This window comes from Homo sapiens, chromosome 8 (assembly GCF_000001405.40).
Source record: "Homo sapiens chromosome 8, GRCh38.p14 Primary Assembly".
NCBI classification, from domain to species: Eukaryota; Metazoa; Chordata; class Mammalia; order Primates; family Hominidae; genus Homo; species Homo sapiens.
In genome coordinates this window covers 124,305,495-124,332,815 of record NC_000008.11, presented here as the reverse complement: position 1 = coordinate 124,332,815, position 27,321 = coordinate 124,305,495, and the positions used below count along the sequence as shown (strand labels likewise).

General features: G+C 33.6%; 1 protein-coding gene across 1 annotated transcript in view; it reads left to right on the top strand.

Moving 5' to 3' along the window:
• The window catches only part of TMEM65 (transmembrane protein 65), a 66,513-nt gene extending 39,886 nt beyond the window's left edge, over positions 1 to 26,627 (top strand). The window contains exons 2-7 of the mRNA NM_194291.3: positions 2,024 to 2,068; positions 5,395 to 5,462; positions 9,441 to 9,495; positions 10,669 to 10,711; positions 12,625 to 12,730; positions 18,755 to 26,627. Of these exons, the coding sequence (NP_919267.2) occupies positions 2,024 to 2,068; positions 5,395 to 5,462; positions 9,441 to 9,495; positions 10,669 to 10,711; positions 12,625 to 12,730; positions 18,755 to 18,856 (419 nt within the window). The 3' untranslated portion in view covers positions 18,857 to 26,627. The remainder of the gene's footprint in view (positions 1 to 2,023; positions 2,069 to 5,394; positions 5,463 to 9,440; positions 9,496 to 10,668; positions 10,712 to 12,624; positions 12,731 to 18,754) is intronic.
• The last annotated feature ends 694 nt before the right edge of the window (positions 26,628 to 27,321 follow it).

Sequence of the window (27,321 nt, the reverse complement as noted above, 5' to 3'; positions counted from 1 at the left end):
ATAATAATAATATAAAATAAATTAATAGATACTTCCTAATAAGATTGTCACTTTCTAGGAAATGTTCTTTTCATGATTCCTCTTGTACTCTGTAGGTTCTTTGTGAAGCAGGAGGCAGAATCTGTGTTTTGATTTTACTTTCACCTCTGTGCCAGTAGTTTTCCTCCCTGTTGTATCTCCTTTATTTTATATTTCTTTCTCTTAACATTTGTTATTGCCTCTGGTTTTTAATTTTTTATGTGTAGTAGGAAAGAAAGAAAGGAATATTGATTACATTATTTGATTTTTTTCTTTATTACTACACGTTTTTTACTTGCCTAGCCCTTATCTTTTCTTCTTCGCTGTTGTAGAATATTTTTAATGTTTTACTCAATGAGTTGGGAATTTGAAGAAGTAAAAGCAAGGACTCCATATACTCTCATTCTACTGGGGAGGTCCTGCTTGTTGAATTTTTAGGTATTTCAAGATGTTCCAGTCAACTGACAAGGACTTCTCACAGTGTCAGAACTGTAGTGATGATGAGACTAATGCAACTAACAAATAGTTCTGGTATGTAAATAACCACTTTTGCATGTTTACTTCACCAGAAAATTCTCTGGAGTATAGCAGTATCCTGTATTCTTAGTTAGAAATTTGGCAAACCACTTGGATGCTTTCAAAGGAGATTTTGAGTTAATGATGCTAATCAAAAATAAGAATATATTTTAATCAGATGTGAAATTCTGTAAGATTAGTATATATATCTTCATTTCTTAATTCTTCTAAAAAAGGAAAAATAAAGCTTAAGTTTGCTTCTTAGAACTTTCTAAATACTATGAAAGTTAATTAAACTCGAGGTTTTAGTGTATTTCTTACTGTAAAGCCATTATGGAACTTGGAAAATACCAGTCACTAATGTGGACCATATTTCCTTTTATGTAGGTTATCAATGGAGATTTGACTTTTACTTTTTTATACTAAATTCCTTAGTTCTTTTGTTGTTATAAAATATAAATAAATATTTTTGAAGATGTACATCTAGTTTGTAATGCGTTTCTTTGGATAATCTGGTTGTACTAAATCTTTAGAGTGATCCACTCTATGGGTTCTTCTCTATATGATAACAATTAATTCTGTCCAGTTGGTTGATCATAAAGAAGGTAGAATTTTCTACCTTTTTACCTTAAACAAATGGTGAGATGCTTATTGTTATAAGACCAGGTAGGCTGCTGCCTGTAATAATTGTTAATTTTTAGGTATAATGTTGACACGTAAAGATACTCTCTGGCTTATACTTGGGAAAACTTTGTTACTTGTGATTCTGAACAACACCCTACTTTTAAAAGTTGTTTTAATGTATGGAATACCCTATTATCCAGTGTATAGGTTCCAAAAGTTAAAATATTCAGTTATATTATATATCAATATAATATATCTTATATATTAATTAATATATATCAATATTATATAATACTATTAATATATTATAAAAGTTAAAATATTCAGTTATATCAACAGAGATTAAGGAACAAAATACAATTCAGTGAAGTCATTGTTTTCATACATTGCTTTAAAAATATTTTCTTCATTTTAAAGATATCTAGATCTATTTGAATATTCATGTTTTCCACTATCAATGATGCTTGTTTGTGTATTTCTTAAGTCATCTAGGGTTGCCATCTGAAAGAAGAGTACCTTTATTTCTAAAGTGTTTTTCTAGTGTAATTAATGCAAACAGACTCATTATCTAGATGTAAGGACTTTAAAGAAATCTGAAAAACAAAAAACAAATGAACTTACCCAGGGCTAGAGTCCATGTTAAGCTTGTAACTAAGCTCAGTTTCATTTGCTGGCCTTCTGATTTAATCCATACTGATTAATATTTTCTGTATGGACAAATGTGGTCCCTTAACCTAAAGATAATTTATGAATAAACTCTGATATTCTCCCACGTTGTAAATCTTCTGGTATTTTCTTCATTGTAATAAAAAATATCACGCTGTAGTAACTAATTCTTGCCCCACATCCTTTTTCTCCCCTTTAGAAAAATTGGAAGCTCCACCACCCACCCCAGGACAGCTGAGATATGGTAATGGTTCTATAATTGTTAAATATATGTTCATCTGTCTTTTGGCCTTGAAATAACTGTATCATTCATTGATAGCACAGAAGAGTCAGTAAATTAAATCTTTCCAGATAGAGTGGATTATCCTGTTCATTATATGAAGCACAAAGTTTATAAACTTGGCTAAGGATGTAACACAATATTGTAAAATATCTAATATTGTTAAAAATATCTAATATTATTAAAATATTGTTGCCATTTAGAAATAGAATTATTTTTATGATAGAAGTTTTCTTAATTTCTAGGAAAAAGGATGTATTTACTTTAGTTTGAATTTAAGTTGGGTAAATGCAGAACTAGAATTTCTAGGCCCAAGGCGAGATACAACTGTTCTCTGGTAGAGAAAATGTTTCCGGCTGGCTGTTTGTAAGAATGAAAAGAATAAAGTTTATTTAAAACTACGTGAAGAAGGACCTTATTACAATGCTGCTAGTGTTCTTTCTTTTCTCTATTATGATAGGAATAAATATTCAAGAATATACCAAAATAATGTAAAACAAGTTGGGATGTTATTATAAAGATGGAAGAAGTGAATTATTTAACAGTATAGTGAATTAGAGTAGGTTGTAAATTAAAGCTAAATATGAAACGTGATTTGCTAACAACTGGCAAGTTATAGAATAGTGTTTCTGAGAGTAAATTGAAGAAGCCACAAATTAGTAGGAGATCATTATATACTAGAGAGCAAATTTATATAATTTTTAAAAAAACCTAATGGCCAGTTATTTTTTCTCTGACAGGTAGAATGTAATTTATATTAGAGATTAGTAACTTTCCTCAAATACCAAAACAATTTAAAAATTCTTTAACACTTGTGTTCCCAAGTAATTTATGATTCTCCCACCTTAGATTCATACAATCTATAGTTCATAATACTGTATACTATTATCATTTTTTGTAGGTGGTATTGAAATTTACTGTTTGTATGGCTGTGTTATCATACCTAAACCCCTTTAGGGCTGGGAACCAAGTCTTATTTATCTTTGTATCTCAGGTGCCCAGTGGAGTGCTCTGTACATGTTTATTTAACTTTTTGAAAAACTATATTTTTTCCTTTTAGTTAAAATAAATTATAATTTTTAGGACATATTTATATAGGTATAAACACTAAAAACATACATCGTATAGTTCAAAGTGATTGTTTGTAACAGAGTGCCTTGGTTTTACTGACCAAGTTTTTACTAAGATAGCAATTAGTGTAATCTTAACTTAATGGGCTTATCACCTAATTTTAAGATATTTGTAACTGGCCAGTTTTAGAGATGCTATTAAAAGAATCCCAAAATGCTAATTAATCCTAACCAGTTTCATCATTATTTTTCAGTACTTAAGTAGCTTTCTCTTCACTGTAAATGTTTTATTTAGTGATTTTTTAGAATTTCATTATACTCTTCTAACCTGTTAAATTTGTAATGTGTATTGGTTCTGGAAGCTGCTTTTTATAAAATTTTGAGTGTTCAGTAAATAACCAGATTTAGGCAATAAGTGAAAAAACTAAGGCTAGACTCTTTAATTGAAAAAAAATCCCATTTTATTAATGTTTTACTTGATTTTTACAACCTTTAATAACAAATAATATTCTTTGTAATTAAAAATGTTGTCCTTGATCTTGGACATTTTTACTTAAAACAAGACGAAATTTTAAATGACCTATTTTATACCTATTATGTACTGGTTTATATAATATTGTATAGCTATAATAATATTGAATATAATAGTATTCTTATACTGTATATAGTATTGTCCCGTGGTCTTAGTCATTTATAGTGGTTGTGGGTAGAAGTGCTTTTTTTTGAGTGCTTATTAGCCTTTCCTGCTAGGTGCAGAGCTCAATATAGTAATATCGAATTTTTATAACTTCTGGATTATATTTCAATTATACTTTCTGTGGAGATAACTGCATTAAAAGAAAAAAAGACTCTAAAAATTAATAGACACATATAACCAGTTGGTTTAAGGGATTATTTTTTTGGACGTAGTACAAAACTCAGCATTTTAATGTTTGTTGAGAAAAGTCCTCAGTTGAACGGATGTTCACTATACCTTGGCAATTTTATAGATTAATTAGAATAAAGTCTTTTACCTATTCCCAGCTTTTAATCTATTTCACAGTCTGCCTTCAATTCTCCCAATCTGGAATTCTCTTCCTTTCCAGGTTAGTGGTCTTCAACTTAATGAAATAATATTTTTTGAGCATCTACCATGCCCTCAATATTCTGCTGAAGATGTAAATATGAAAGAAATGAGAATAAATGTATAAAAAATATGTAGGTATTAGTTCTTCCTAGTTACAATTTTTTTTTTTTTTTAAGATGGAGTCTTGCTCTGTTGCCAGGCTAGAGTTCAGTGGTGCAATCTTAGCTCACTGCAACCTCTGCTGCCTGGGTTCAAGTGATTCTCCTGCCTCAGCCTCCCAAGTAGCTGGGACTACAGGCACGCACCACCACACCCAGCTAATTTTTGTATTTTTAGTAGTGATGGGGTTTCACCATATTGGCCAGGATGGTCTCGATCTCTTGACCTCATGATCCGCCCGCCTCAGCCTCCCAAAGTGCTAGGATTACAGGCGTGACCTAGTTACACTTCTAATATCTCAGATCATTGAATTTATATACCCAATAGATGAAGTAAGGTGTGTTTTTGGTAGCAAGAGGTGAAGTGATAGTTTGATTTAAATCAAATATTGATTGTTTATAGTTTGCAATAGCATTTGGGAATATTGATGAATTTTGAGGGGGGAAAAAGACTGCACATAGATGAGGTAATATAGATGAGATAATCACCTTTTTCTAACATTTCTTTAAAAAAATTAGTTAGTAAAAGCACCCAAATAACTTTTCTGACATTTGATTTAGGACATTTTCATTATTTCTAATACAGAAATCGATTTTATAATATCAGACTTTAGTCATAATAGAAAAAGAGATTAATGTCAGTAGCAATCAGGTAAAATGTGGTACTCATATATGTTTACTAATTTGTTCTGTTAATTGTATGTATATATTTGTGTGTGTGTGTGTGTGTGTGTGTGTGTGTGTGTTACCAGTAAGAAAACACAAAAGTCTAACACAGTTATTTTTACATGTTTTATACTTTTTCTGGTTTGTTTTGTTTTTTCCCAATATAGTTTCTACTTATAGCAGTAGCAGCATCTATTGGCTCTGGAAAATGAGAATCAAATTCTAGAGATTATCAAGTCTGTTTAGGATACTTTGATCATATCATCTGTTTTTGTCATTCTAAGTTATAGAAATCTTAAAATATATTTTTCTGTTTTTGATGTTTTTCAGTATTCATCCACAATGCGATACCTTTCATAGGGTTTGGCTTTTTGGATAATGCAATTATGATTGTTGCTGTAAGTTCTTTCTCTCACTGCTTCTATTTTGAGTTCATAAATTAATGTGGTCTACATTTTCCTAATAATTTTTCTATTGTGATTATAAAGTTTTAATATCATAATGAACAAGGATATTTTTTACTATATCTCAGACTATAGCTCAATTTTAATTAAGCTATATTTAATATTTATTAATCATTAAGACTTTAGGTAAAGCATTTAGACAAATAGACTTTTGGTAGAGCATTCAGACAGAACATTAAAGGCCTATATTGTCCTATTCTAATTTCAACATTCTTAATAAAGAAAAATAATATGTAAAATGTTCTGATGTTCTTTAATGGTGTTGGCAATTATCACATATATAGGTAATTATTTGATTTAGTTCCTTGTTCAATTTTCCAATGTGAAAATGTTTTAAAGCATGTTTTGATACATAGTCTAGCCTTCAGTCTAGCCATTGTTTAAAGTTTCAATTCAATTAAGTGACTGTATCTCCCTTTTGCCTTGTTCCATTGTAGTGTTAAAAAAAATTCCCCTTTGTTGTGGTATTTTAATGTAAGGGTGCTCCTTAAACCTGTTTAAGCTCAGAGATGGCTGACTTACCTTTCTTACTACTATATAAGGCCTGCTAATGGATACCAATATTAGGTTCATATTCTAAAGTCAGAAGTAGATCCATAATTAAAATGCAAGTCTTCAAAAACTGCCCAGTGCTCTGTTTTCAAGAACATACCAAGTGTTAGCTACAGCTTATGAATTTATCATAATGGGGTTTTCATTACAATTAGATTTGATTTACATTAATTGTTTAAATAATCTAGCCAACTCAGATTTTAGTAGTTTCCGAGAAGGCAGTGTGGTTCTAAATAGTTGAATAAGTTTCTCACATTCACAGATACATAAATTGGCCAGTTTTATTCTTATATACATATTATGAAAATGCCATAATCAGTCAAAAAACTATTCACTCCTCTTATTTTGTCCAAGTAAAATAGATTGATCACAGTCCAGTTATTATGGCAATTATCAACTTTCAATACATATTTTTAGAATACCTTATGTGAAGTCATTCTTTTCAGATATTAGCATTAGATTGAAGGTAATAGATCTTCAGTACATTTAGTGGGAGGAGAAAAAAATATCATATACTTTGAATACCAGTTTATGAGTTCCCAGGTGGGGTCTTTATTTAAACTTGTTTGAGAAAATCGAAGTGCTTCACAACTAGAAACTTTTCTCAGTTAGGACTTAGAGAGTTTGTTGTCAGTTTCACTGACTCTAACTTTTAAAAACATTTTGTAAATGATAGCTAAAGTGTAGGAGACTACTGAAAAAGTGGAATGACCTTAGGATTGTTGAATGTGAGGAAAATATACATGAGAGATGCAGGTTTTCTTTTTGGTGTTTTGGAGATCACGTGTACTACAAATGGACATAAATAGAAGATTTGGTTTCAAAGTAGGAATTTTAAAAGTAATTTACATTGTATAGATTATAAAATTTATGTAAACATGGTTTATTCAAGAATGGTTTTGTTTGCTATATAGTCTAGCCTTATGTCCAGATTGATGGGGATCAGCTACCAAACCAAACACCCACATTCTAGAGTCAAATTATTGTAGTAATTTGTAGTTCACTATTTGGTGTTCCCCAGGTCTGTGCCTCATTGTTAGTATAACTAAGAGTGCACTATTTTTCCAGGCCTGAGATGGCTGACTCCAAATTAGTAATACCTGTTATTCTGTTTCTATTGAAATCCAGTTTCAGGGGCTTATGGGCCATTTTGTTTATTTTTTCTTATTTTTTTCCCCAGCACATCCAGAACACAGAAAATCAGTTTTTATTTAAATAATACTGAAATAAATGTTTAAGCCACTGACTTCAAGTTAAGAGTAGTAGGTGTGGCAAAAATATTATCCTGTGATAGCTGCAAACTCATTCAGAGACAATAAAATTTTCCAGTGAGGCTTCGTTATATAGAATGCTGAGACTAAAACATATAAATAATGTAACTGTAGAATCTATGAAAGGGGAAATAAGTGATTATTATCTTAAGAATGTTTTTCATCTTTTAATTAAAAAAATACTGATCAACCCCTCTCATTGTGGGACAGCTATGACTGTTTTAAGATAGTAAGTTGAGGAGATAGTTGATTCTTCTTTTTTTTTATACCATAGACATTTGATGTTTTCCTCCTTCCTGTTAGGTGTACTTTCCCACCCTAGTTGTAGTCGTAAAAACAAATTCAAACAAAAACAAAGAGGTGTGTAACCTCTTGTAATAGATTTGGCCTTTATATTGGTTGGTGTTCATATTAAGCCTTTTGTTTCATAGTTTAAAAAATATTTTTATATTATTGGATTGCTTTTTATAACTTATATTTTAGGGTTAGTTTTGGGTTACTTTACTTACAGTTTAATTGGATAGAATTTATTAGAATTCTAGAGTAGATTAATTGTATTAAGGATAATGAACCAGGTATAACTTTAAGACAACTATTAGTATTCGGTTTATTTATAATTTCTACCTCACCTATTAACACAAAATTTGATGTAACTATGGGACACAGTAAAGAAGTGGATAGTCCATTGCCCCCAAACCATCTTTGACTTTATATGGGGCTTTTCCTGCTGTTAGAAGGACCTTCAGCTGTGTTACATTCAACCAAATGATTAAGCACTTAACTATTTTTTAAATGTATGTATTGCAAGAGATTCTTCTTTGGCCACTGCCAGCGATTCATTGCTGTTAAAGATGCCATATTTATTAGACTGTTGTTATCAGGTGCCTCTCTTCTATATTGGTGCTCCAGTTTTTTTGCATTCAGATATGATGATACATATGTTTATTCTTTTTCTCTGCCTGTTTTTACCTTTTCTTCCTCTTTATTTCTTCTTCAGAAATCTGTTTCTTGGGGTATATTTACAACCTTGTCATTTGAACTTTGTGCATCAGGACAAAAGACTTTTGAACTTCAGTGCATCAGACTGTTGGGTCCATATTCGACAAGAATTATATCTTAAAGTGATGCAGCCAAAAGCTCTAGGGGAAAGAAACTTGAGGAAACCTCTTTTCAGTTTTGTAAATAATTGATGAGTAATGCATTATTTCTACGTAAAATACAGGGCGTTTTTTTCCCTCCACAAATATCATTGAGATTTGAAGCATTTTTTAGAAATGTTCAAGCATCAGTATTCAAGAGAACTCTTGAAAATTAAGTCTTCTAATGGCAGCATTGCTCAGGGATTAGAATTGAATTAGCACAATAGATCCTAGGATTTCTTCTTTATTCTGTTAGAATAGTTTAATTGTCTTCACTTCAGTTCCTCCTCTTTAAAATGAAAGTAAAATATGAGCCCCTCTTTTCTTCAGAGGAATGATGATATACATATAGAAAGTCTTAAACTCTGTCATTAAATTCAGTGGCGATACGATGGGGCTTTGTTTTGAGTGTAGATCTATTGTACTAAATGCCGTTGCTGCTTATAAATTGAATGTATAGTTTCACTACTTAATGGTTCAAGAGCTAAGTGTTATAAGGATAATTTTATAAACCCCAATTTCCCTAGAAACTGGTTTAGTCTCCTTTTAATCTTTTGATAGAGTAAATAACAATAGTATAGATGTATAGTTCAGAATTTAAAATCAATGTGAGTCGGTCTTGTTTTCAAAGAGCTTTAAAGCATTTTTCTCTGTGGTAGAAAAATAGAAATTCTAGATTTTTAATGATGAACTATATTTCTACATGTGTTGCTAATTTTATTTTTAGAAGCCTAATTTGAATGAATAAAATGTTATTGATGTTATTTCTGTATGAATGCATATATTTAATAATTTAATGAATTACTATATTATATGTGCATATATGATGTATGTAATTTTGCAGCACTAACATGTTGATTTAACTTGTATCTGTTTTTATTAATGCTTTGCTATTCTTTTATAGTCACTTCAGCTTTAATTTTTAAGATTAATTTTTTATCATATTTCAGGGAACCCATATTGAAATGTCTATTGGAATTATTTTGGGAATTTCAACTATGGCAGGTATTTAACAGTAGTAAATGTTATTATTTCATTGTACACTTATAAAACATTTCAGTAGATTAAGTTTAGAGGAGGGTAATTTATTTGAATGAGTTTACTCATTGAGATATCTGTTAATTTTCTTCATCCTATTCTTCTGATTCTTAGTTTTGTACATGTAGCACTTTTTCTGAAAATTTTAGGTACTTTATATTATTAGTTATTGGATAACAATACTCTGCTATATTGATTTCGTTAAGACAAGATTTTCTGGCAATTCAGTGTTACCCCTAAACATTTCTACCCTTGGTCTCTTTTATTTATTTATTTATTTATTTATTTATTTAGAGACGGGGTCTCACTCTGTCACCCAGGCTGCAGTTCAGTGGTGCAATCTCAGCTCACTGCAACCTCCACCTCCAGGTTCAAGGGATTCTCCTATCTCAGCCTCATGAGTAGCTGGGACTACTGGCGCCTGCCATCATTCCTGGCTAATTTTTGTATTTTTAGTAGAGACGGGGTTTCACCATGTTGGCCAGGATGGTCTTGAATGCCTGACCTCGTGATCTGCCCGCCTCGGCCTCCCAAAGTGCTAGGATTACAGATGTGAGCCACCACGCCCAGCCTATTATTTATTTTTTATTTATTTATTTTTGAGTTGGGTAGAATTTTTTTTTTCTTGAGTTGGGTAGAAAAATCAAAGAAGGAAATACAGGATTAAACATCTGTCTTCTCTGTCCCATTTACCACTCTATTCTTCACAGAGGTAAAATTTGGGAAGAGTTCTATGTTGTATTTATTGTAGAAAGCATTAGGTAAATGAGTTAATGAAAGAAACATATTTTTCTCCTTGACTTTCTTGAATTTCATAGCTGTACATGCAACTTTACCAATTCCTTTAAATATTATATGAAAGATACTACAAAATATTCTACAATTAATATTGAAACCAAAATGGAAATTGGCTGCCATAACAAAAAAACCTACTACTTAATGGAGGTAGAATAGCATAATTTCAAAATTGTGTTCTATTTCAAAACCTTGAGAGTAAGAGCTGTCCAATGAGTTACTTTGGATATGGTTGCTGTTGTTTGAGAAATATGAGAACTCTTCCAAGATCAGTGCTTTATTGATTACATAGTGATATAATTATTATTCTTTTATGTAACAATTATTTATTTTTCAAATTTTTAGCTGCTGCTTTGGGAAATCTTGTGTCAGATCTAGCTGGACTTGGGTAGGTTCATTCACTTATTCATTTGTATATTCTGTACTTGCTGTCTTTCTGTTCCCCACTCTTCTTTAATTGAGAAGCATAACAAAAGAATATTTCATTTTTCTTTGTTTTCTAGAATTAAAATTTCAAATTTACTTTTTCTAAACTAATAGTACTAAATCTTTGGTATCCATCAAATATAGATGCCTGGGTGATATCCCAGTTATACATTATTAGTGTCTCTGGAGAGGGAGCCCTGGCAGTTGTGTTTAGTAATTTTCATGAGTGGTTCTGATGTATGCAAAAGTTTATTCTAAATTTACCATAATGTAAGCAAAATGGAATTTGTGTTTACTGAAGTATTTATATGTATTTTATAGACATCTCCAAGGGTAAGACAGGAGTAAAAGGAAGAACCTCTCTCATTATTCCACCTCACCCTACTCCCAGAAAACCCAAAGAGAAGGGATATGGCTCGAATTTGAGGATACTGACTAGACATGTTTTCTAGAGGGGGGAACTTTCAAAGGAAATAATGGCCAAAGCATATATGGGTTTGGCTGTTTTTTGCTCTCTTTACTTTATGTGGCAGGAATAATGAAACAAACTAAGGACATCTATTTAGAAAAGGCCAGCTTTCTCTCTCTCTTTACATTCTTGTTCCAAGTAGCAGATGGCCTGAGTTGCTTCCTGAGCTTGGGGAAGCCTGGGGGAGTATAAATTAGACTAAGTGGACATTATTATGATAAATATGCTCTGTCTTGCTCTGTCTTTGATTTTGTCTCTTCTTTCCTTGACTCATTTGAGTGTTACAATTTCAGATTTGAATTTTTTCTTAGAAGTTTACTTAGCCCTATAATCTAGGCAAAGCAGCTTTTTAAGTGATCTAACCTTAACCTTTTATATTAGACTTCTGCACTGGAGTTTGGGGCCAAAGCCACAGTTAAAAACAAAGTTTCTTTGTTTTAGGACCATGGCAAGAATTTTATATTCTTCGAATTCCTGGCATAAATGTATCATGATATCATCTCTTAAACATTCTATTCCCAGTTTCCAACATTAAAGTAAATAATGAGAATATTACAGTCATTGTATAGCTTTCTGATATATTTAATAGAACCAAATGATCTAAGAGATTTTAAAGCCATTTAGCTATATATTGCATCATAAAACAATTGTTTTTGTTTAGAGATGAAGATTTTTCTGGAAGTCTTTGTATTTAAAAACTATTTCTCTTCTCTCTTTTGGGGGGTATCATTCAATAACAAATACCACATTTTAGGCATTCTCAGATGCATTTTAACGTATCTGATATCAGGATCCATCTTATTGTTGGTAGTATACATAGTTTAATTAGCAATATTTTTTCTTTCTTACAGTTCATAAAGTAAGGATGTATCCAATAAATGATGGCAACTTAGAATTGATAAAATACTTGAGATTGGCCTGACAGTTCTAAGGTGTTTTTGTTAGTTTACCAATCTGAGGAATTTTGGAAACTTTTGCTGTCTGATAAGTTACTAATTTGTATCATATGTTAAAGTGCTTTGCTTTGAGTTTGGAATAATTGCAGAAATTCTAATTATCTGTACAAATTGTTACATACCTTGAATTGTTTTTAAAAATAATAATAGAGAATACTTGCTCTGTCATTAATTTTCCTTTGTGTTAAATATGTTAATAAAATATTTTTAAACAATATATGCAATAAAAATTAAAAGTTGTAAAGAATGTTTATGTCATTTCTAGAGTACAAGTGCAAATGTAAAATTATCTTGTTTCTCCTTGTAGTAATTAGTTTACTATATGAGGACATTTGCATGTCTTTTTAAAAACCTATATTTTGTCCTCATGTCTTTGTTTTGTTTTGTTTGCTTTTGTAAAGGCTTTATTGAAACATAACCTATATATCATATTGTCTTGTTTCTTCAAAGACTTGCAGGCTACGTTGAAGCATTGGCTTCCAGGTTAGGCCTGTCAATTCCTGATCTCACACCAAAGCAAGTTGACATGTGGCAAACACGTCTTAGTACACATTTGGTAAGTAATTTACATGGTTTATGATAATGAGTTGGGTAGCCAGAGCAAGATTCTGTATAGTTCAGGCCCTTGAGAAATTTGAGACTAAAATTGGTTTGAATGGAGTTTTTAACAAAAATTGTCTAGACGTTGGCAGTTTTCAGAAGAACAGTAATTTGTGTTATTAACTCCTTATTTTTTGTAGGTATACTTAATTTTTAAAAAATATTTTGTAATTCACTTAGTATTAGGGAGTATCTCTTATAGGTTGGGGTCTAAAGAACATAAAACGAATAATAAACTGTGGTTATCCTTGAGGAACTTGTTTAGGTGGAAAACCAAACATATAAACAAATTATAATTTGGTATGACATATGCAGTAATGAATTATGTACAAGATATAACCATGATACAGGTAAGGGAATTAACACTGTGGGGAGTAACTTCTTTTGGTGGGGAGATTTCTTGGTTATTATTAGATCTAAGCCGATTTTTGAATTATAGATGAGACATTTACTAGATGAATAAGAGGAGTTCCAAGCATACTGACTAGCAATTAGAAGAGGATGATAAAAAAAGGGTATATTTAGGTAAATACAAGAACCGACTTTAGGAATATAATATATAGTAGCTGTAGGTATAAGCAGCAGCAGGAGACAACATTGGAGAAGTAAGCAGGGATCAGACAGGAAAGCTATTGTATGTGAATGCTAAGGAGCTTGAGCCTCTTACCTAAGTGATGGAGAGCCAGGGGAGTTTTAAGTAAGAAGTAAACTGGATGGATCATGATGCCATCAATAAAATCAAGAAAAAAAGGAGGAGGAATAAGCTTGTAAGGGAAGATAATGAGTTCTATTTTGGACGCATTGAATTTGAGATACTAATAGGACATTTGAGTGGTGACACCTAGTAGGCATTTAGGTTAGAGTCAAGAGTTAGATAGGTCAGAGTTAGTGATAATGGGTATTGTCACTCCTTCATTCAACAAATACTTATTGTTTACGTATTATATGCCAAGTAGAGATACAGGAGTTTTGAATACATTGGTTAACAAAATAAGATCTTATTTCTGATAGATCTTACATTCAAGCAGTGAGGAGACAGACAATAAACAATCTGATAAATAAAAATATTTAGCATATTAGAAGTTTATATGTGTTATGAGAATAAAAAGGGAAAACAGAGCGAGGTAGAAGAGGCTAGGAGTGCTAGGATGGAAGCAGACTGCAATATTCAATAGGAGAGTCACTGTAGGCCTCACTGAAAAGGTAGATGATTGTTCAAACCATGGGAGAAGATGAGATTTCATAGGAGAGTGGTTCTCAAAATGTGGTGCCAGCATCAGCAGGATCAACATTACCTGGTAACTTCTTAGAAATGCAAACACTCAGTCTTCATCTTAGACCTATCTATTATTGTGTAAATTATTGCAGCTGGATGGGGTGGCTCATGCTTGTAATCCCAGCACTTTGGGAGGCCGAGGCGGGTGGATCACCTGAGGTCAGGAGTTTGAGACCAGTCTGATCAGCATGGTGAAACCCTGTCTCTATTGAAAATACAAAAATTAGCTGGGCGTGGTGGCAGGCGCCTGTAATCCCAGCTTACTCAGGAGGCAGAGGCAGGAGAATTGCTTGAACTTGGGAGGCAGAGGTTGCAGTGAGCCGAGATCAAGCCATTGCACTCCAGCCTGGGTGACAGAGTGAGACTCCATCTCAAAAAAAAAAAAAAAAAAAAAAACAAAAACATGCAAATTCAGCAGCTTAAAACAACATATATTTGTTATCTCTCATTTTCTGTGGGTCAGATCAGGAATAGCTTAAATGGGTCCTCTGGAAGGCTGCAATCATGTCCAGCTAGGACTTCGTTCCTGTCTAGAAGCTCAATTGGTGATGAATCCACTTCCAGGCTCACCCAGGTCTTTGGCAAAATTAATTTTTTTGTGGCTGTGAGGGACCTAACCTCTGGCTTGCTGTTGCACTCTCATGTCCTGGAGGCCTCCCTCCATCTAGAGCAAGCTTGTGCAACTCGCTTTTGGTAATCCAAAAGTTTACCACAAATTGGTAAACTTTCTTAAAACATTATGAGATTTTTTCTGTGATTTTTTTTAAGCTTATCAGCTATCGTTAGTGTTAGTGTATTTTATGTGTGGCCCAAGAAAATTCTTCTTCTTCCAATGTGGCCCAGGGAAGCCAAAAGATTGGACACCCCGATCTACGGGTCACCTGCAGTTCTTTGCCATGTGGCCCTCTCAGTAGACCCTCTCACAACATGGCAGCCTGCATCTTCAGAGCCAGCAAGGGAGAAAGGGAATGAGTCTGCTGGCAGGATGGCAAGATGGAGCCTTATGTAATGTAATATAATCACAGGAGTAACACCCCATCACCTTTCCTATTACTCAAAGCAAGTTAGAGCATCCTACCTATGCTCAAGGGGAGGAGATTATGCAAAGACTTAAATACCAGAAGGAAGGTATCATGGAGGCCGCCTTAAAATGTGCCTGCTACAGATTCACAAAATGAAAAGTTCTGGAGACGGAACCCAGCAATTTGTGTTTTAATTCTGTTGTACATTAAAATTTGAGAACTGTTGTTCCAGAGAAAATGTGCAGAATTAAAGAACCCTAGAAAATACCTAAGAGCTCATAGTCTTATGGGAGCTATCAAGGACGAAGTTTTAAGAAGTAATGAATGATAACCAATTCCTCTTGATATAAAGAAATCAAATAAAATTTCTGAAAATTTTTTTTTGTTTTTGGATTTGGTATGTAGTTGCTCATTGATAATCATTTCTGAGCAATTTCTATGGACTGATGGAAGAAGAAAAATCAAATGACAATGAATTGAAACACTAACGGGAGGTGAAGAAGAAGAATAAAATATAAAATTAATGTTAAGTTAGATGGAATTTATTTTAATGAAGATATTGAATGTTTTGGAAGTAAACAATTTTTACCTGCAAAATATTCATACAGAGTACAAAAACATACACATAGGTAATATAGAGTTAAATTCATCACTAATCACTTTAAATCACTTTAAATCTGCAATAATTACTACCCTTTAAAATATGAGTAGTAGAAGGATCACAACTATACCAGGGAAGTGTTTGCTTTTCAATCAAAATGTAGGAAGAGTGTGGAGAAACAAAATGAGGACCTATTTGCTTGTTGTAATTTTTACTTTATAAAGGTTGAAAAGTCTTTTAAGAAAGTAGAATGTTAATTTTGGGCTTTTCCTTTTAGTTTACATGTGTCCATATCTTACAATTTGTAAGTAAAGTGAGACTAGCCCCTGATACCAGCTGGAGTTTTGAGGGAATAAGGATATTCTAACATTCTAGCAATTTGTCTTAAAAATTTTAGCATTAAAGTTGGGATCAGAAGTTTATTTTCCTGGGGCATAATAATTGTTTTCTTTCTGTATTAAAAGCAGGTTCATTTTCTCTTCTCTATGACAAAAGCATCAGATTACTAAACTAGTATTACTATATTGAGTGTGTGTGTGTCTGCGTGTGTATTGTGATAAACCCCTCACTGGTTTATGGCAACAGTGATTCTGTTCCTTAGTTGTTGACTCTGCTTGTTTTTAGAATCAAATCTTCTACTCTGTAACATAACATTTTGATTCTATACAGCCTGAAGTATTTGAAGTTAGTGACCAGCCATCTACTCATGACAAAAGCTAACTCTGAAATTTACCCATGATAGAATAAATACAGATACACATGCAGGTTCCAGTTGACACAGGTGTATTTTAAAACCTCACTTGTAATTTGGTTGTTTGAAATTCAAAAAATATTTTCTTATAAAACAGTATTACAGATGGGACTCAAGTTCTACAATTAGCCCCAGTGTAGTTAACTATGGGGCCTAGAGTATTGTAAGACATAATGATAATGTATAAATAAATGTTTTCACAATGGAAAAATTTGTTTCAGGTCCTGGATCAGGGAGTGAGAAAAGTATATCACTTTTTTTCCTCTTCTCCACCCTATTGACATTATATCTCTTGAGATAATTGGGTCAGAAATCACTGACTGGTATTCCTAAAGTGAGGGGCAAGGAAAGCCTTGGTTGCAAGAGGAATTTAACAGAATGGGTGGGAAGTGAAAGTGGGGCCTATTGGCAATGGTTATTTTCTGTATATGGGAAAGTCAGGAGTCTGAAATAGAATATAATGATTTCTCTATGCATATATTCAAATGAGTAAATATGTTAAAGTCAAAAAACAAGAAGCTAGGATTAACTTTATCAGCATGTGGAATGAAGAAAATTTCTTCTTGTTAAAACTCTGCATGAATGATACCTTTTAAAGTTTTGGCATAACGAAAATAACAGTTTTGACTATTAATATCAAGCAGTGGTCATACTACTAATACCACTACCACCACCAAAAGCCTCAAAATAAGAGTTGAAAAATTTTTATGCAAGCTATTGTCAAAATATTAATGTCTACTATTAAATTTGTTAGAAAAACTGTAGGATGTGGGCTGGGCGGGGTGGCTCACACCTGTAATTCCAGCACTTTGGGAGGCCGAGGCGGGTGGATCATGAGGTCAGGAGATCGAGACCATCCTGGCTAATACAGTGAAACCCCGGCTCTACTAAAAATACAAAAAATTAGCCGGGCGTGGTGGTGGGCACCTGTGGTCCCAGCTACTCAGGAGGCTGAGGCAGGAGAATGGCATGAACCCAGGAGACGGAGCTTGCAGTGAGTCGAGATTACATCACTGCACTCCAACCTGGGCCACAGAGAGAGACTCCGTCTCAAAAAAAAAACAAACAAAAAAAAAACTGTAGGATATGATAGCTAAATAGACAATGTATAAGAGAAAACATTTCATTCAAGACTAAAGATTATGTAGCTATCATAGTAACTGTAATGTTTGATAGAACTTATTTTGTCTTTCCCTGTGTACCTAACTAGAAGTTCCTGGAGGAGAGAGACAGACTGCATAAGATTAGTCCATCTCCATGGTACACCCAGTACAGAGTTTGACACATAGTAGCTTCTCAATAAATATTTGTATGAGGAAATGAAACTTAATTGAAAAGTATATAAACTTGATAGTCATCATAGGAATGCAAATTTTGAAAACCATTTACAAAAATAACAATTTTAAATTTTTATAATGATCTGGGTGTGGTGGCTCCCAGAGCCTGTAATCTCATTTGGGAGGCCAAGGTGGGAGGATTTCTTGAAGCCAGGAGTTCAAGATCAGCCTGGGCAACATAGGGAGACCCTGGCTCTACAAAAAAAAAAAATAATAAAAGTAACAAAATTATCTAGGCATAGTGGCATGTGTCTGTAGTTCTAGTTACTGGGGAGACTGAGTCAGGAGGCTCGCTTGAGCCAAAGAGTTCGGGAAGAGATCAGGAAGATGGCTTGAGCCAAGGCTGCAGTGGGTTATGATCATACCACTGCGTTCCAGCCTAGGTGACAAAGGGAGACCCTGTCTCTAAAACAAATAAAATAAATAAAAATGAAATAAAATTTTTATAATGTAGGTGAAGTTGCAGGATAATTGGTATGTGTGTCTACATTTATGTATACTGAAATTGCTATGTAAGTATGTGCAGCGTTGTCAAGGATGAATGCTTCATGAAGATGCACAAATATTAATACTGTTTGACTTTTAAACAAATCATTGGGGAAGAAATATACATGGAAATGCTTATTGTTATTTCACTTATAATGTTGAAGAAGTAGCAGTGGCTATGGCGGTAAAGAGAGATTTAAGTAGAATATAGACCCGTCAATTCAGTTGAACTTAGAAGTCTTTAAGTTTGTGTAGCAGTTTGGAAAAGAGTTTGTGAGAAAATGTGTGGCTATGCAGGGGTACGGATTGAGGAAGAAAACAAAGCTATGTTTACATAATGATTATATCTACATATAATTAGGTATACACAGGGATAAATATTGAAGAGGAATATATATGAAGGGTAGCAAATCCAAATATATTGAGAAGAGCTGGTGAGATTTTTTCTCTGCCTTCTTGTTATCAGAGATAAAGTAACTTTAAAAATGTTCTCTTTTGTTTCCTTAGGGCAAAGCTGTTGGGGTGACTATTGGCTGCATTCTAGGAATGTTTCCTTTAATTTTCTTTGGAGGAGGTGAAGAAGATGAAAAACTGGAAACGAAAAGTTAATCCTCTTAGAATACCTATAAAAAGATGTAAACTAATGTACCTCAGTAATTAAATATGCTGTCACAACATTTAGGAATTAAGACAGTAACAGTATAGATATGGGATCAAATAATTTAGCATGTATTATGGAAAACACTAACTTATTGTGGCTTGATCTTCTTAGGACATCTTTTTTAAAAAGCTGTTTAGTATCATTTTGTGTATATTGTTGAAATGCTTTTTCATCAATAGCAGTCAACATTTTATCCTTTCTTTTTATATTCATAATGTTATTTAAGTGTCATTGATGTACTGTATTGACTTGGGGTTTGCTTATTTGTTACTTAACATGTGTACATGCATGAAAGCATTTTTCGTTGTTCCCTGATAGTTACATTTCAACCTTGGGATTTTTCCAAATTACTTAAGATGTTTAATGTCAGTTAAAGATTTTTTTACCCTCTTTTTGGGAACATCAATTTTGTACTGTTATGCAGTAAACATTTATAATAATATAATTTCAGTCATTTCTTAACTGTCACATCTATTGAAAATGGATATAGATACAGGTTTTAAGTATTTTAAGTATATATTACTTATTTTAATTTTCTGACTTTACTATTTTAAGGGCCAGAGGGTTAATCACAAAGAGCAATTATGTGGTCTCCCTGCTACATGAAACCGTGTATACTAACAAGCGTACAATTTTTAGTTGATTTTTTTTAACCTTTTAGTTTCCCAGTTTTGAATAATTACATGGTGGATTCTGACTTTTGAGGGGAAGCAAATGATTATTTTAGAGTCTTTGAAATGGGGATTGTGGAATTAGATTGAACTAAGGGATTTAACATGATGCTTGGAAATTAAGAGACTAAAGCTTTTTTTAAAAAAAGGTGGAAAATAGGAACTGTCAAGAAGGTTTATGGTATAAATGATGAAGTTGAAGTGATGTTTGAAAGATTAATGAGATACAATTTATATTATTTGGTAAGGTTTTTTTTTTTCCCTCCAAAGATGTCATCTTCTCATCTGAATGGAATAAGTCTGAATACCCCATATTCATACTCCTAATCTCATTATATCTTATTTAGTGAATTTTATTTATGAATAATTTCTGTTGAAGTGAAAACTAGATATTTAATATTTTGCTTTTTTGCTACATAGTCTACTCAAAAATTACATGAGGAGAAATCCTTTTTCCCTTTGTTTTTCTTTTTTCTTCTTTTGTGGTATTTAAAGCATATTTTAGGTTGAAGTTACTTATTTCTAGTCTTGTACTTCTGGCTTAAGTATAACCATGTAAGAATTATAAATTTTAGTTTTCTGAACCCTTAAACTTTTTTAGCATGTGGTCTGTTACACATGCTAAAAAATTAGTCTTACTTGTAACAGCGTAATTAAACACATCATGGAGGAGAGAAACTTAAAATTAAAATAGTATTTTGGCTTTTGAAGTTATTTGTGTTGCTAAATAGATGCAGAGGTTTTACAGCAGTTTATTTTAAGGTTTTATTTATACATAATTACTTTGAACTCTTCAGAGTAGATATTTTTTCACAAGGCAGTTTGTCATAAATTCTCTCATGCGCTTCAGAATGCATAAGTGCCATCCTTTAATCATAGACTTTGAGGAGAGAAAGCATAAAAATATAGCATATAATCTAAAAATAAATATATAACATGCACAAATAATGTGACATTCTTACTGAATCAAATCATGATTCTAGAACTTGAGATCTTAAATAGAATTTCGGTTTGTATCTTCCATATAATAACCACACACAGATAACCACACAAAAAATCCTTTGTAAAATTTCTGATTGATAGGATTAGAGTGCTTAAATTTTTGGGGGGGGAAGGGTGGGGTAAAGTGTAAGTGCTTTCTTTTGTCCCTAACTTGTGTATTGATGGCAGTCCACTCTGTTTTCTAAAAATGTATTTTACTGTGGTGCTTAACTTCTTATTAATTAAATCCCGTATCAGAAACCTTGCCTGTGACTTTAGAAAGGGCTTTTGATTATTGTTTTTTCTTCTTGCTCTTGAAAGTAATCTGGTCCCAGGGAATTACTGGTTTAACTGAACATCTCCAGAATTATTTAAGGTGTCAAAATATATAACCTTCACATTGAAAGATAATTTTAATTTATGGGCATAATAAAAATTTGAATCATTCAGGTAATTTTCAAAAAATGGAGACCATTTGTCTTTAACTGAAGGTATATGTTTAAGATCATAGTCTACCCTAGTATGGTGCTTTGCCACAAAGTGATTTCTGAAGAATGGTTCTTTTTAAGATAATGACTTCATATGATCATTGTTTCATGTTACTTGCCACAAATAACTTTAATTTAGGTTGAAACTGGAACTGTTTGTTTCTCATATTAGCTACTTCTCTATTAGGAGCACAAGAACCATAGTTAAATGCAACATGAGCTACTTTAGTCCTGTTTGTTTAAATTTGTGTTGTCCATGTATTATGATTTATTAACTTGTTGATGCATGTAAATTGGGTGCATTTTGTTGCCATGTATGTTAAATGGTGACCAATGTTTTTACAAAGGAATTGAACAAAAAAAGTATCTTTTAAGAAATTTGGAATGTGGTTTTGATTTTGAAATTTGATTTCTTACTAATCTCAGAGGGCCTTGGTATATTCTGTTACTAAAGCAAACAGGATTAATGAATACGGATTTGTTACAAGGTGGCAGCAATGTCACTGAGATAGTGAATGGAACAATTTACCACCTCCCTGGAATCTGCACCTGAGATACAACATCAGCGTATGAGTGAAGAGTGAGCCCATAGAAAAGCTTTAGATAGACTCACATAAGTCACACTGATGGGTATTTACAGCAGATATATCCAAGCTGTTTATGTAATAGTCTCATTTACTTTATTCTTTTTCTCTAGAACATAAATTTTGAAGGTAATGGAAGTTTATCTTTTATACCAAAAGTTTGTATGAGCCATTTTGAAGTAAATCTTTCTAATTTTAGAATTATATTTTCTCGCCATCTTAAGACAGTATATTAAATATAATATAACCTTTTTCTTAGTGGCTAAGCATTATCTTTATGTATATTATTATTGTGTGGTAATGCAGTACCTTGAGAATCTAGTTTTTATAGTTTTCATTTTTTTTTCTGATCTTGCTTCTGGCAACTTTTATCTCTCTAATCTGCTTTTTTTCTCAGTTGTCTGGACTTAGAAACTGGTTAGCCTATCTTACCATAAATTATTTGGGAAATACTAAAAAATTGGCTTTGGATCCTGACTGAGATGATGATGATGATAGTAGTAGTAGTAATAATAATAGTTCCCTTTTATTAAACACTTATTTGGTCCTTTATGCACTAGTAATTTACACACATTATTGCATTTAATCACCTTAATGACAACATTAAGTTGGGGCTATTATCATTATCATCTCTATTTTCTCATAGCTAAATTGAGGCATGAAGAGGTTAGTTTGCCACTACGAATAAGTGGACTGGAATCCTATTTTGTCCAAGTATGAAGCCTGTCTTCTTAACTGCTAGGCAGTAGGGACATCAGTTGCATGGGCTTTGCAATGTCTGCTCTCTGCCTAGGTTCCTTTTTACCTCCAGATTCATGGAGTCATTTTCTTATCTATAATTTAAGAATATTGTGCTTACAATCCAAGATTCATTTAAGAAATCTTGTGTTCTTTATTACATACTATGTGCTAGGATGTTCAAGGCACTGAGTGAACAACCAGAACATCTGTACCCTCATGAAGCTTATTCTTTTGGGGTGGGTAGTAATAGGGGAAGAGAACACAGAAAAGCAAATATACTTTTTTTTGAGATGGAGTCTTGATGTCACCCAGGCTGGAGTGCAGTGGCGTGATCTTGGCTTATTGCAACCTCTGCTTCCTGGGTTCAAGTGATTCTCCTGCCTCAGCCTCCTGAGTAGCTGGGATTACAGTCACGTGCCACCGAGCCTAATTTTTTTGTATTTTTAGTAGAAACGGGGTTTCACCATGTTGGCCAGGCTGGCCTCAGACTCCTGACCTCCTGAGTAGCTGGGATTACAGGCACGTGCCACCGAGCCTAATTTTTTTGTATTTTTAGTAGAAACGGGGTTTCACCATGTTGGCCAGGCTGGCCTCAGACTCCTGACCTCAGGTGGTCCACCTGTCTCGGCCTCCCAAAGTGCTGGGATTACAGGCGTGAGCCCCTGCGCCCACCTGCAAATATACACTTAAATATTGTTTATGTCAGATGGTGGTAAGTTCTATAGAGATAAATGAAACAAGATAAAGAGGATAGAAAGTACCAGTGGTCATAAGTGAAGATGGTCAGTGAAGACCTGAAGGAAGCGAAGGTACAAACAGTACAGATATTCTGTGAAGAGAAAGTATCATGCTAGGTACTAGAAAGTTGGTGTTAAGAAAATCTCAGATATGTGAAATATGTTTCACTTTGGAATTCATTGTAAAATGTTTTCTTTTTGTTTCATATTACTAATAACTGCATTAAGCCTAAAGAGTAACAGTTAAATATTAAGATTAATACTTACTTCTTGCATGTTTACTGACAGCAGTAGGTGAAAATGGCACAGAAGTGTGGGGAAGCAACCCTAGAATTCAAAAAAGTCTGTAGATATTCCCATCAGCAAATCATTTACAGTTGACTCTTGAACAATGGAGGGATTAGGGACACCAACCCCCTGTGCTGCTGAAAATCTGAATACAACTTTTTACTCTCTCCAAACTTTACTTATAGCCTCCTATTGGCTGGAAGCCTTTCTGATAAATAAGCAGTAGATTAACACGTATTTTGTATGTTATATGTATCATATATTGTATTAAAATAAAGGTAGAAGAAAGAAAATGTTATTAAAATCATCAGGAAGAGAAAATACATTTACTATTCATTAAGTGGATCATGATAAAAGTCTTCATCCTCCTTGTCTTCATGTTGAGTAGGCTGAGGTGGAGGAGGAAGAGGAAGGATTGGTCTTGCTCTTAGTGGTAGCAGAGGTGCAAGGGGAAGCAGGAAAGGCAGGCACACTACGTGTAATTATGAAAATGCATTGTAACTTCTGTCTGATGTTTTGCTTTTTTTCATTTCTCAAAATATTTCTATATATGGTATTAATCCTTCTTCCACCATTTGCTTTAGTTTTAGTGCCTGTGTGATAGAAGGGTTCATGTTGTAAAATCAGTCTTGAATAATCAGAACACTTCTACCAGATTGTCTAATGTTGATTTGTTTTCTGGCACTGCTTCTAAATGTCTTCCTCCTCATTCTGTGGCACTGATTCAGAGGCACTCATCTCCAAAAGCTAAGCTTTTGAATTGCTTAGCTTTTGATTCACTCCAGGATTCAGATCTTGAAACTTTCTACCCTCCACCATTTATTTATTTATTTAATTTGACATATCTACAACCTCTTTCATGATTTTCTTGATTGGCTCTGTTGTAAATTCTGCGAAGTCACACACAACATCTGGTTGTTTTCCTCAGCAGGAATTTATTGTTTTGGGCTTGATGGCTTTCATGTCTTCTGTAGCAACAATGGCATCATCAGTGGTGGAATCCTTCCAGACTTTGATGATGTTCTCTTTGTTAGAGTTCTCTTGCATGGCACTGATGGTTCTTTGCATAGAGTACTGTGTGTAATGAGCCTATAGGTCCTTATGACTCCCTGATCTAGAAACTAAATTAGAGACATTGTGTTTGGGGGCAAATAGATCACTTCGATGCCTTTAGTATTGAACTCATGGAGTTCTGGGTGGGTGGCCAGGGGCATTGTCCAGTATCAAAACAACTTTAAAAGGCAGTCCTTTACTGGCAAGGTACTTCCTGACTTCAAAGACAAAACAGCAATGGAGCCAATCCAGAAAAAGGGTTCTTGTCGTCCAGGCCTTCTTGTTATACTGCCAGAAGACTGGCAGCTGGTGTTTATCTTTTCCCTTCAAGACTTGGGAGTTAACAGCTTTATAGATAAGTGCAGTCTTGATCATAAACCCAACAGCATTTGCAAAAACCCATAGCATTAGCCTGTCCCTTTCTGCCTTAAACCCTGGTGCTCACTTCTCTTCTTTACTAATAAATGTTCTTTGTGGCATATTATTATTTTTCCATAATAGGGCACTTCTGTCTGCCTTAAGAACCTGTTTTGGTAGATATGCTTTCTCCTCAATGATTTTCTTAATGGCATCTGGGAACTCATTTGCTGCCTCTTGGTCATCAGGAGCTGCCTCTTCTGTTATCTTAACATTTTTAAAGCCAAACTTCTTTCTAATATTATCAAGCCATCCTTTGCTGGCATTAAATTCTCTAGATTTAGATCCTTCACCTTCCTTTTGCTTTAAATTGTCATATAATGACCGCCTTTTCTCCAATCATATTAGAGCCTATAGGTACGTCTTTCTTGTAGCAATACTGCACCCACATAAAAGTTGCATTTTTAATACGAGATAAAAAGGTATATCACAAAAAGTGTAAGGTTTGCTGGTATAGATGCAGTAATGGCTTCATAAATTTTCTTAATTTTTTTTAACAGTGGTCCTTATGCTGGATTCATTTATCTTGAAGGATGGGCAACTACAGCTGCAGACCAGTACACATCAAGCAATTTAACTTTTTCTTGTAATGTCATGACTTTGCTCCTTGGGAGCACTTCCAGCGTCACTAGCGGGACTTCATATGGGTCCCTTGGTATTATTGCAAGGTTTATGGTTGTACTAAACATGATGAAAAATAACTGAGAACCATGAGAGATCACTTTTTACTACGATACACAATTTACTGGAGAGATGAACTGCCCATGTGGAGATGATAAACATCACATGGCATTTTAAGTGAATACAGCACTTGAGCTCACAGCAACAGCAACAGGAGGTAGCTCTGAAATTATGGTAGTAGTGCAGTATGTACTATAGTTAATCTTATCCAGTTGTAATTTAGTACTGCATCTTTATGTTTGTCTCAACTGCAAATGGCTCCAATGTATAGTCTGTGTATGCGTTAAGTTTTGATAAATTTTAACTTTTTTTTTTTTTGAGATGGAGTCTTGCTCTGTTGTCCAGGCTGGAGTGCAGTGGCACCATGCCGGCTCACTGCAACCTCTGTCTTCTGGGTTCAAGTGATTCTCCTGCCTCAGCCTCCCAAGTAGTTGGGATTACAGGCATGCATCCCCATGCCCAGCTAATTTTTGTATTTTTAGGAGAAACAGGGTTTCACCATGTTGGCCAGGCTGCTCTTGAACTCCTGACCTCAGGTGATCCGCCTGCCTCGGCCTCCTGAAGTGTTGGGATTACAGGCGTGAGCCACTGCGCCCGGCCAATTTTAACTTTTCATAATAGATTTGTATATATTTATGGTAGTAAATGATAAAATAGACTAGTGTCTACATATATTATATGAATTCATGACACACCTTTTTCTTAGTTTTTCAGTATTTCTAAGCTACATGGTGCATCTGCAAGTTTTTTAAATTGTTGCAAATTTCCAAAAAAATTTTCAATATATTTATCAAAATATGCATATAAGCGGTCCTATGCAGTTCAAACCCGTGTTTGAGAATCAACTTTATGACTTCCAGTGTCATTCTCCACCATTTCTGCAGTTTATCACATTTTGCTTCAGGCAGATTTGGTAAATCTTCAATGATAGTTCTCTAGGCCATTGTTTTGTAACATGATCAAATGCTTAATGGGAAATAGAATATGTATATGTATTCTTTGTCTACCAACTACCAAAGAAACAAATACTCCTCAGTTTGACTTGACTTAGTAAATAAACTTGTGTTGGGTTAATGGAGCTAATGGTTATTTTACTTTCTGCTGAATCTGTTCTCTAACCTTTTGCCCTGAGGATTAATATTAAGTATATTGATGTACAATTTTTAGAATGTGCCTGCCCCCTCTCTTCTTAACGTGACATTGCTTACCTAACTCTGGGCTTAATACTTTTACTATTCTCATATTTTATAAACAGAACAGTTTTGTGGTTATACTTCAAATTCTTTAGATATCATAAATCAATTATTTTAAACGTTTTGGCCTTAAGATCTTAACATTTAAGAACTTAACACTCAAGAACTTAATGCTCTGGAAAAATATTGATGTCCCCAAAGGGTGTTTTCTTTTTCTTGCTTTTAAAAAAGTTTGTATAAATTTAAGGGGTTTAAGTGCAGTTTTGTTACATGAGTATATTGCATAGCGGTGAAGCCTGGGCTTTTAATGTAACCATTACCTGATTAGTCTACATTGTACTCATTAAGTAATTTCTCATCCCTTATATGCCTGCCTTCCACCATCCCACCCTTCCAAGTCTCCAGTGTCCATCATTCCACACTCTATGTCCTTCTGTACACCTTATTTAGCTCCCACTTACAAGTGAGGACATACGGTATTTGACTTTCTGTTTCTGAGATGTTTCACTTAAGATAATGACCTCCAGCTCCATCCACATTGCTGCAAAAGGCATGATTTTATTATCTTTTATGGCTGAA